The 12,572-nt window shown below is 35.2% G+C and overlaps 1 long non-coding RNA gene across 7 annotated transcripts in view, besides 1 other annotated feature; it reads right to left on the bottom strand.

Annotated features, from left to right (window-relative positions):
- The window catches only part of LOC105375523 (uncharacterized), a 459,019-nt gene that overhangs the window by 73,686 nt on the left and 372,761 nt on the right, over positions 1-12,572 (bottom strand). The gene's annotated exons all lie outside the window — the stretch shown is intronic.
- Positions 6,513-6,612: an enhancer, noted in NCBI's record as "active region_26722". NCBI's record gives its function as "activates an Ori minimal core promoter by ATAC-STARR-seq in GM12878 lymphoblastoid cells {active_cell/tissue: GM12878}" and the evidence as "EXISTENCE:reporter gene assay evidence [ECO:0000049][PMID:35858748]".

Raw genomic sequence — 12,572 nt, 5'->3', positions numbered from 1 at the left:
AATCACCCAGTGGTAGTTGTCATTTGACCATTACTAAGTTAGGATCTTTATTTATTTCATTTTCATTTTTTAATTGCAACTATACCATTCCTTTTTCCTTTGTCCTTTCTGGGTTTTATTCACTTTATAGCAAGTTGCACCTACACAATGAAAATCATTCCTTTAAAGGTGACTAAACCCAATTACTCAGTCAGAATAGCCTGTTCAATGGTGTCTTTTATACCGGAATCTTCAAAGATTTTTTCCTTTATAAAAACTTCTGGGTCCCATGATCCAAACTTCATTTTCACATTGTTCTTAATATTGGCAGTTTGGTATTCCATTATCTTTCAACTGAATACTTTTGTAAATTAGTCAGTGCTTTTTATATTAACAGCCTGACAGCTCTTTCTGTGTATAATATCTTGTTGTCATGAACGTAAGTTTAGTTTGATCTTGATGGACAAACCTACCATTGGTGGATTTCCAAGTACACTATACAGGAACATCACTCAAAGATAGCCATAAAGTTACTGATGTGATTGACTTTTTGCCAATAAAGTGCAGCCTTAGACCAAGGAAGCACTTAGGATACTTGATAAGTATCAACTATGTAATGAAACTGGCTAATTTACATGCCATCTATAACATACCTTCACATTCATACCTCATTCTATCTTTCATATGACCTTACAAGTGAGGTATTCTTGTTCCTAATAATACACGAGAGTTAAAGCACCCAAGGTTGAAAGAGGTTGACTAGCTGTTTTCCAAAGTTAGTTAACAAATAGCAAAAAAAAAGTATTGTCCAATCAAAGTTTTATCAATATTAATAACAATTTTAGTAATACAATTTTGCTATTGAATCCATATTGAAGCCAGGATGCTTACTGGTCTGCCATTAATATTTTTATAATAATTCATCTAATCTATCTTGTATATGTGTTTTGTTTGCAGAGTTGAGGTCGAATTATACACTTATATTGTTACACATTTCCTTTTCATTTAAATTCTAACATGTGCTCTTTGCAAACATCATTTTAAAGGTCTCCATAATCATTCATCTCAATTCATTTAACAATCTCCTTACTGACCCATTTAAGCTATTTCCATATATATTTGTATGTTTCTAGAAACATGTTTATACATGAGGCTCTCCAGCATTTTATCTTATTTTCTAAGGTAAATTTCTATCAGCAGATGGAAAAGTAGTAATTTTTTTCGGTTTCTTGATAAACACTGGAAAATTGCTTTTCAAAGAATTGCATAATTCACATTTCCATAATAAGCTTATTATACTGCTTATTTCTGAAATAAGCAGTATTTTTTCTTGCTAGTATTGTTATTCACATTTTTAAAAATTTAGATAAGTTCATAGTTAAATATATTTTCATGATGTGTTAATTGATAATATTTACTCATGAGACAATATTTTCCGATAGGTTTTTAGTCATTTTAGCCATTTGTATTTCCATTTCTATAAATTGTTTGTTGACCACTTACTTGGAATCTTTGTGTAATAACCTAAGTGTCTGTCTTATAAAAGTATGTAACATAAGTTACATACAAGAGTGTCTGTATAAGTTCTGTATATTAAACATTTTAACCCTTCCCCTATGTTTGCAAATAATTTTTAAATATTAGTGTGCCTAACAAATTAGCCTTTTAATATTGAGCAACATACTTGTTAACATTTAATTGTAGTGAAATCTGCCATCATTGTCACAGTAAATTCTTTCATCGCTTTCCAACATAGAAGACACCCATGCAGAGATTTAATACATATTTGTTTATATTTTTCTTTTTTATAGTTTAAGACTTCAATTTATTACTTTCAAAGTGTCATTGAAGAGTGTGTTATGTATGGGAAAAAAACTTGCACTGAATAATCACCTAATAATTGATAGTGATTAGTCAACAGTCTCAGCGTGATTTATTGAATGATTCACTTCTCGCTAATTTGTGATGTTTCATTAGTCATATAATAATCCTTTATATAAAAGAATCTGTTTCTGGCCCATTTTGTCAGTTTTGTTTAGTTTTATAGTTTAAATTATTACACCATTACAAAGCATTTAATACCTGAAGAATCTATTCCCAGTTCAATACTTTTACTTCCAAACGTTCTTGTCTATTCACACCTTATAAAAAATGTTTATTCCACAAATTTTTACATTTCTAAGTTTCAAGAAAATCCAGAAATATAAATTATAACAATAGAATATATAAATAGGATAATATATTTTCTCTGTTTGGGAGCCCATTCTAATGTTTACCTTTCATTATTTGTGTTTTGTAGCATTCTTTATTTAATATTGCTAATATCTATTAACTTTTTCTTAAAATGTAGAAAAAAAGACACACTTGCTTGTATAGACAGGGATAAAATGCTCATGTGGAAAAGGGGTTTAATGCTAGATCACAAGAGATGTTATAAAACGGCCCTTAATACAATGATGGATTTATCATGTCTAGTGTCTGTCTTCCTCAAAGAAAGACCATTACTAAATAAACTCATTACACTGAGGTATACAATCCAAATACAAATAGTAACTATATCTATAAGTGAATGGATATATCATTCTCATGAATTTCAAAATTTGAAATTGTTTTAATGAAAATTCCACTCATAGAGTGAATGCAATCATAATCAAAAGTTTAATGTCTCTCTTTTGTAGAATTGACAAGCTGATTCTAGAAGTTATATGAAAAGGCAAAAGACTTAAAATAGCCAAAATAATTTTGAAATAAAGTTGAAGGAGTAACACTGATTTTAAGACTTACTATAAGGCTATAGTAAGCAAGACTGCAGTTACTAAAAGGGTAGACTTATAAATCAATGGAAGAGAAAAGAGAGTTTTAAAATAGAGCCACATATATATGGTCAATTAATTTTTCATGAAGATGTTAAGATAATCCAAAAGAGAAAAGCAATTGTCTAAAATGTAATTGGATTAAATGGATATCATATGGGGAAAAAATTAACATTGATCTTTACCACACACATCATACACAAAACTTACTTAAACTGAAATGGGAAAAGAGCCTAAATGGGAAGCCTAAAAATCAAAATTTTTGGAAGAAAAAACAAGAGAAAATCTTGATTACGTCAAGACAGAACACAAAGAGGATGAAACAGAAAAGAACAAAATGATAAAATGGACTTTGGATTTGAAACAAAGGTGTTCTCAACACAAAGGCTATTGTTCTTTTGAAAATATCATTTTTTGAAAAAAGGGAAACCACACTGGGAAAAAAATATTTGCAAAGAACATCTCTGAAAAAAATATCACAAAAGAACCTCTAAAATTCAATATAGCAAGGCAATCCACAGACGTCACAAGACTTGAAATGATACCTCAAAAAGATATGTAAATGGACAGTAAACATATTAAAAGGCGCTCAACATCATTAATCGCCAGGAAAATACAAATTAAAACCACAGTGAGGTATTACTACATACCCATCAGAATGGCTAAAATTAAAATGCCTGACCAGACCAAGTGTTGATGGGGATGTGAAGCAACTGGAACTCTCATATACTGCTAATGAAAATATAAAGTTGTATACTTTTTGGAAAACACATTGGAAACTGGAATTTCCAAATTATAGAAAACAGCTTGATGACTTCTTAAAACTTTAACATATACCTGCCATACTTTGCCATTCTACCCCACAGCATTTGCCCAAGAGAAATGAAAACATATCTCCAGACAAAGGTTTATACACGTTTGTAGAAGCTTTAATTGTAATAGCCAAAACCTAGAAATAACCCAACTGTCCATAATTATATGAACAAACTGTGGCAATTCCATACTGGGAAATAGCACTCAGCAATAAAAAATATGAGCTATTGATATATAAACAAACTGTGGCATATCCATACCTGGAAATACCACTCAGCAATAAAAAAAAATATGAGCTATTGATACACGCACAAACATGGATGGATTTCAAAATAATTATGCTGAATGAAAGATGCCAGGCAAAAAAGGAACACATCATGTAGATTGCCATTTATATAAATTTCAAAAACATGGAAACAATAGTGACAGAAAATAATTCAGTAGTTTTCTGGAGAAGTGAAAGATAAGCCATCATGAGAACATTTGGGGGCTGATGGTTCTGATGTGATTTCACAGGTGATGGTCATGGTTCCACAGGTAAATACGTAACTCAAAACTGAGCAAATGGTCACTTTAAACATATGCAGTTTATCCCATATCAGTTATAGCTAAATAAAGTTAACAAGGTTTCTTCCTATAACCTTATAATTATGACTTACTAATACAATAGACTATATATATATATACTGTTATATTTTCCATTATATATGGAAATATATATATATATTCCTACACAATTACTGGGTTTTATATTTATATTTCTTTTCTATTTGTATTGGATCACTTTACTAAAATTTCTTATTAGCATGAAAAGTTTTCTCAGTTGATTTTCTATGGTTTTTAATGTAATTATTTACATTTTTTACCAAACAATGATTATTTTATATCCTTTTTGTTGAAAATTATGTAACCCAATTGACATTAGACATGAAGTGAGGAACGGCAGCTGCTATTACTGTCTGGAGGAATAGGATGCACTTGATGTTTCAGAGGATAAGCCACAACACCTGTGTTGATGCTCAAGTTAACAAGGCATTTTCACTTTGCATTTAAAACAAAGGTGATTTTTTGAGGTCAGGAGTTCCAGACGAGCCTGGCCAACACTGCAAAACCCCGTCTCTAATAAAACCACAAAAAATTAGCCAGGTGTGTGGCATGTGCCTGTAATTCTAGCTACTCGGGAGGCTGAGGCAGGAGAATCGCTTGAACCCGGGGAGGGGCAAAGGTTTCAGTGAGCCGAGATTGTGCCACTGCACTCCAGCCTGGGTGACAAGAGTGAAATACTGTCTCAAAAAAAAAAGAAAGAAAGAAAAAGAAAACATAGATGTTCTCAACAAAGAAGTTTGGAAATACTTCTTTCTTTGCTACAGCACGTAGAAAATAATGCTGATTGTGCACAGAGAAAACAGAAGAGAAAATACCTAGGGTTCAGAGAGAAGAGAGTGTGGTAGCAACTTTCACCCAGTAGTCAAGTTCAAAATGTCTTTTTTATTGATATAAAATAGCTGTACGTATTTGGGTGGTACATGTGATATTTCATACATATATACAACGTGTAATGATCAAATCAGGGTAACTGGGATATCCATCACCTCAAACATTTACCTTTTGTTTGTGTTGAAACATCCTAATTCTTCTCTTCTAGTATTGTAAGGAGTCTGTAGTCAACAAAATGCCTTATGAAGAAATCAGTGAAGACTCAGGATTTAAAGGATGTCTTATTAGGAAAAACATAGTAATAAAGGCTGTGGAGGAAGATTCAGTCATTGCCAATCAGTAGGTAATGAATAAAGCAGGTCACACAGGCTGGTGTCTACACCAGATCAGAAGCAAATTTTATCACTAGCCTAATTTCCTATGATGTCACTTCTGCTCTTTCCTCTCTCTCCCAGGATTTCAATCATACTGTGGCATTTTGCATCCTTGCAGTCTCTCCTTACCTTTGTTTTTTTGTTTGTTTTTGTTTGTTTGGTTTTTTGAGACAGAGTCTCACCCTATCGCCCAAGCTGGAGTGCAATAGCATGATCTCGGCTCACTGCAGCCTCCGCCTCCTGGGTTCAAGGGATTCTCCTGCCTCAGCCTCCCAAATAGCTGGGATTACAGGTGCCCACCACCACGTCCAGCTAATTTTTGTATTTTTAGTAGAGACAGGGTTTCACCATGTTGGCCAGGATGGTCTCGAATTCCTGACCTCGTGATCCGCCTGCCTTGGCCTCCCAAAGTGCTAGGATTACAGGTGTGAGCCACCACACCCGGCCTCTCCTTACCTTTTTATGTGTTCTGCTACTCACTGCTTCCATCTTCCCCCTCATAGTGACCCATCCTTATGTTATTTTAAAAAATGTTCTTTTAGCTCTGCAAGAATATAAAGTACCTATTTTCTATTGTTTTTTCTCTTTGTGGTAATGGACGAGTTTTACTTTCAGACTTTCCCCTTTTTTCTCTTTTTATGTTTTACTGCCTTTTTTTGTGGGGTGGTGGTAGTACCTGATTTTTCCTTGTTTATTCATCTTTAAATGAAGACAGAGATCTATGGAGATACATTTTTGCCAATACCTGATATAAGTATGTAGAAGAACTTCTCTTTCCTCAAGTGTATTAACAGGTTAATTGGATTCCATTTCCAAATATGAACCTGGAGGGTAGGTTGCTATGAATAACTGAGTTCAATACCAGGACCTACTAGAAATTAATCTTGGGCAACTTTGTTGAATAGCGGTAGTTCTTTGATCTTCTGGAATCGAGTTTGTATCCTGTAATTTTTAAACCAGTTCACAACTATTTTTCTTTGACTATAAATGAAAAACAACATTTTCTTACATATACCACTTCCTTTCTCTGCTCCTGGGCAATTATCACTCGTTTTATAATTTTATGTCCTACCCTGCCCCAACCACCTGCTCCCTCACCTGGGTCAGTTAATTATATACTCGAACTGCATTTTCTGAACGGACTGCTATCAGGTGGGGGAAGCTGGGAAAGTAGCAGTCCAGAGGGCCTGCCCAAATTTCTGTTTGGTGTTGCTTTCGTGTCTTTAAATTCAGATAGTTAACTTTGGCATGTCATATCTCTTCCTTCCTGCTTCTGAACTTGCCCAAGGATGGAGCAGTTTGAGGCACCTGTTTCTCAGTTCCTCATTCTCATAGCAATAAGTAGAAATGTCTCCCACATGCGGCATATGGGTAACCTGGTTTCCAGTACTGTTGTGGGATTTGGTCTTCCTGTGTCTCCATGGGCACCATCAGTCTGAGTACTTTCAGAAGCAAGTAATAAAAATTCTACTCTACCTGGCTTAAACAAAACACAATGAGGCTTTAGTGGGAGACTCACTAATCCAAAGGTAAGAAGTACAGGTGGGCATCATAAGAGACTAAACAGATGGGTCAAACGAGTTCAAGGAAGCAATTGCCTCAGCCTCTGTTCAGCCCCATGGCCAATGTCTGTTTCTGGGGTCATCTGTGGCATTTTTTTCCCTCTAGGCAAACCACCTTTTTCTACTTCCCTTGCGCATGTTTAAAACAATTACTTCAATCTTGGAACTACGTGTCTGGGCTCAAGAGAGACCAAACTGACAAATGCCCTAGTTCTAGTTCAAAATTCCAGAGGGAGAATTTCTTATTGGTCAAGTGATTCTTGATCTATACAGCTGTGACAAGAGGATCTCACCACGTAATACGAGTCACCCAGTCTGTCTTGGGGGTGAAGGAAGTGGTATAGTGGAGGATGGGGAAAGAGTAGGCAGTTAAAGTTTAAAGGTAAATAAATAGTAGGGGGGCAGTGGTGTGCACCCGCAGTCCCAGCTACTAAGGAGGCTGAGGCAGGAAGATTGCTTGAGCCCAGGAGTATGAGGCCAGCCTGGGCAACACAGCAACATCCCTGTCTCTAAAAATAAGAAGATAAATAAATAAGCTTTTACTATAGACTATAGATTTTCAGGTGTGGGGGTGGCAGGGATCGGATTTCTTTACCATAGAAGAAGGACTTCTCAGAGGCTTTAATTACCAAATTGTATTATATTATCTTCTATTTAGTAGGAGAGAAAATATAGAACATTTCTCAATTATTTTACCAAGAAACCCTTCTGGCAGAATATTTTTTTAAAGCAAGCTTCCATTTACTTTTTTTTAACTTCAATTTTTATTTTAGATTCAGTGTTACATGTACACATGGGTAAATTGTGTGATTCTGAGGTTTGGGATATGACTGAATCTGTCACCCAGGTCATGTCCCTAGTACCCAATAGGTAGTTTTTCAACCTTTGCCACCTTCCCTCCTCCAGGAGTCCCCAGTGGCTATTGTTCCCATCTTTACGTCTGCGAGTACTCAGCGTTTAGCTCCCACTTTTAAGTGAGACTATGCAGTAGTTGGTTTTCTGTTCCTGTGTTAATTCATTTAGAATAATGGCCTCCAGCTACATCTATGTTGCTGCAATGGACATGATGTCATTGTTTTCTATGGGTGTGTAGTATTCAATGGTGTATATGTACCACATTTTCTTTATCCAATCTACCGTTGGGCACCTAAGTTGATTCTGTGTCTTTGTTATCGTGAATAGTGCTGCAGTTAACATATGAGCGCATGTGACTTTTTGGTAGAATGATCTATTTTCCTCTGGGTATATACCCAGTAATGGGATTGCTGGATCAAATGGTAGTTCTGTTGTAAGTTTTTTGAGAAATCTCCAAACTGCTTTCCACAGTGGCTGAACTAATTTACAGTTCTACCAACAGTGTATAAACATTCCCTTTTCTCCACAGCCTCATCAACATCTACTATTTTTTGATTTTTTAATAATAGCCATTCTGATTGGTGTGAGATGGTTTCTCATTGTGGTTTTGATTTGCATTCCTCTGATGATTAGTGATGTTGAGAATTTTTTCATGTTTCTTGGCCACTTGTAGGTCTTCTTTCGAGAAGTGTCTGTTTATGTCCTTTGCCTACTTTTTAATGGGATTATTTGTTCTTTGCTTGTTGAATTAAGATCATTATATTAAGAATGAACTAAGTATAATGATACACTAAGAATATCTAGTATTGTTTTGGATACTAGATCTTTGTCAGATGTGTAGTTTGCAAATATTTCCTTCCATTCTGCAGGTTCTCTGCTTACTCTGTTGATAGTTTCCTTTGCTGTACAGAAGCTCTTTAGTTTAATTAGGCCCCACTTGTCAGTTTTTGGTTTTGTTGTAATTGCTTTTGAAAAGTTAATCATAAATTCTTTGTCAAGGCCTATGTCCAGAATCATATTTCCTAGATTTTTTTCTAGGATTTTTATAGTTTCAGTTCTTATATTTAAGTACAGACTATAGATTTACAGAAAGATGGAAGAGAGTAAATCAAACATAATTCACTTACTGCCATCTTACTTCAAGATTCTCAATGTACTTTAAAGTTTAAATAATCTTTTACCATAAAAGTCGTACATGAATTTATTTGAAAAATGCAAAGAGTAAAAAAAGACCAGCATTTTTTTTCTCATTCTCACCTTACAGATGTGACTACTGTTAAACATTTTTAAGTATCTTATCACAAATTTCCTACACATATTGTAGCTGAATCCAAACTTATTCTGCTTACTGCATGGCAACCAGTAAGTCAAGAGACAAGGAGTTGCAGCAAGGAAGGTAACTTTTTGCAGAGCCATCTGAGAAGAAGGCAGACTAATGTCCTAAAGAACCATCTTAAATCAGTACAAATTTCAGGCCCTTTTTATGTTAATGGCAGGGGGAAGAGGAGGGGTTTGGGATCAGGAGGCACCTGATGACCGGAGACATCTAGGTGCCAGTGAATGTATGAGGAGGCCAGGAAACCTCTCCATCTTTGGAGAGTCACAACACTCCCACAGATCCTCAGTACAACATTGTTACTTGTGTGTACACCATCCTTAACTCCTTGGGACTCATTTTAGGAAGGGATTATTATCATTTAAACAACAAGCTAAGTTCCTCTCGTAGTTAGCTTGGCCTACATGCAGAGATAAGCAAAGGCAGTTAACCTGAAAGATACCTCCATGAGGGGTTAGGAGCAAAATGGAGTTAGTCATGCCAGGGTGCCTTTTCACTGGTACAACATGCACATATATCTACACATACACGTACATACACATAAATATCATGCACTTTGGAAATATTCTATATATAATATTCTCATTTAGATTTTTCTCATTTAGCGATATGTCTTCCCAATTTTTCCGTAATTTATATACCTATTTTTATTGATTGATATTTGGATTGCTTCTTTTTTATTTTTATGTACATAGGTGAGAAATCCATAAATTTTATTCATTTTTAAAAAATCATTTTTAATTTTTATATTAAGATCTGGGGTACAAGTGGAAGTTTGTTATATAGGTAAACTTGTGTCATGGGGTTTTGCTGTACAGATTGTTTCATCGCCCAGGTATTAAGCCTAGTACTCATTAATTATTTTTCTGATCCTCTTGCTCCTCTCACCCTCCACCCTCCAATAGGCTTCAATGTGTGTTGTTCCCTTCTCTGTGTCCCTGTGTTCTCATCATTTAGCTCCCACTTATAAGTGAGAACATGCAGGATTTGGTTTTCTGTTTCTGTGGTATTAATAGTTTGCTAAGGATAATAGCATCCATGACATAAATTTTAAATATGAATTTGTTGAATGAAAGGATAGGTGCTTTTAACATTTTGAAATAAATTATTGAACTACCCTTCAAAGAGTCTATGCCAGTTGTATACCCACACAAAATAGCGTAGAAGAGATCCCCTAGCCCTGTATTCTCCCTGAAAATGTGTATTACAAAGAGTTACGTCTAATTATTTTAACTTGCAATAGATGGTGAGAAGCCAGTTGATATTAATATAAGTTCTTTGAAACACATAAAAATCTGCTGTTTTTTTTTTCCTTAATGTTCAAATATGTGGTCCTTGCTTTTAATTACTGTAAGAAACTTGCCACACAAAGGAAGGGTTATTTGCTTAGAAATTAATAGTTATTGCCAGCCTCAGCAAACTGTTGGGATAGAATGCAGCAAACACCCAAAAGGTAGATGATAGGTCTGCAGTAGCAAGGAGGGTGGCTGCCTTCAGCAAAACATACAAACTAGGAACTTGTCTTCCTGTGCAATATTTTATCCCTTTAATTTCCAGGAGGAACAGAGGAAGAACATGGCTGGTTTGAGTTCAATTAGATAATTTTGAAAGGGTTTCATAGGTGGTTTCAGTGTTTATGAAGGAATGATTAACTTTCTTCTTGATTTGCGAGTTTCCTTTGCCCACAAAGGGGGAACAAAGACCAGTATTACCAACAGCTTTTTGTTTCTCTGATAAAATTCATCTTTAAAAATGCCTGGCCCTGTTTCAGACCTTCTGCCTTCATAAACAGCATAATATGCCTGCTAGGGCTAAAATACTCAACATATGGATGTTTGAAAACCTCTAGATGAAAAGCAAAATCTCCCCATCTTATATAATGGAGAAACAGTTGTAGCATGTTAGTTTGTAGCAGTGTCATTAAAAAATTTTGCATAAGTTAAAAATACAGGTAAACAAACCCATGTTTTTCTGATTTCTATCAGTATCTTGATACAAAAGCAGCATAATTAAAATCAAAATTCACACATATCACAGAAAATTATAAATGCATTTAAAATAAAATATTTTGGGTAGTATTAATTAAATCAAATATTAGCTGATAATATTATACTAGAAATGGCAGCAGTTTTGTGTTATAGAAAGAGCTCTGTCCTAGAACTGATATTCTAGGTTCAAATTCTACCCTCAGAGAGTTTCTTGCCTTAACTGATCTCACCTTCCTTAACTCTAAAATGGAGATAGAGCAGTTCTGAGAATTCAATGAGAGAACATGTAGAAAAGTGCTTTTTACAATCCATTTTTTAAAATATGCTGTTACAAAGCTTTAAGTATCATATCTTATTTTAGAGAAGTTATGAAATTATATTGAAAAGTTATTTGTGTTACTAATATCTGTATTTGCCATTTGTTGTCCTCCTTGTATATACAGATTAGATAATTTCATAATGGAATTACAAATAGCTGTAATGAGTTTTTGCTACCCATTCATTCATTTATAAATGTATCTACATATATTTAAATAAATGCACACACACACTTACATACGGTGAGGGGAGAGGATGTATTAACAGATACTATGAACAAATCAGACATGATTCCTGCCTTTGTGGTCCTTACAATCTAGTGGAGAAGGAAGCTCTTAATCAACTAATCAAACATATAAACCTGATGATGTTGCAAGAGGATTTCCCCTGGCCAGGGAGATCAGGAAGGGATTCTCATTGAAATTGACACTTGAACCAAGATTTATCTGAAAGATGATAGAAATTAACAAGGGAAAAACTGGAAAGAATTATTTAGTCTTGGACAACAGCTCTGCGGCAGGATGGAGCATGGCCAACACACAGGACAGAAAGTCAGTAGGTTTGGAAGTAAACAAGTTAGGATGAGGGTGAAATTGAGTGAGGAGGTCACAAGGGACCGGTGTTAAAATTCGTATTTGAAAGTGACAGGAAGGGGAAGGGAAAACTCCGATAATGAATTTGGTTTACCATGAAGGTTTGAAAGTCCACAGAAATCACAAGGCAAAGGTAAGCAGCCATGTGGAAAGGCAGGCTGGAGGCCAGGGAGTCCTGAAAAATGCTTCCAGAGAATTATCCCAGGGGCGTGCCTGCATGTTTTCTTGTCTAGTTTGTGTTATCAATTGGATATAGGATTTCCTTGGCCCAAAAGAATATATTAGTCGAAGAGAGGTAAGAGAACAGCAGAGAAACCCTGCTGCCACCCCTGGTACAGCTGCTTCTCCATAGACCTCGGGATGAGCACGCACGCTATATCCACAGACCATCCGCAGGTTTAGAAAACATCCTAGAAGTTTCCCAGGTTTCTCACTTCCTCCTGCATTATGCTTTCTTCAAAGGTCACAATTTTTCTGCTTAGATGTTCAGACCACAAGTTAACC

Source organism: Homo sapiens, chromosome 7 (genome assembly GCF_000001405.40).
Source record: "Homo sapiens chromosome 7, GRCh38.p14 Primary Assembly".
Lineage (NCBI taxonomy): Eukaryota > Metazoa > Chordata > Mammalia > Primates > Hominidae > Homo > Homo sapiens.
This window is presented reverse-complemented; position numbering and strand designations above follow the sequence as displayed.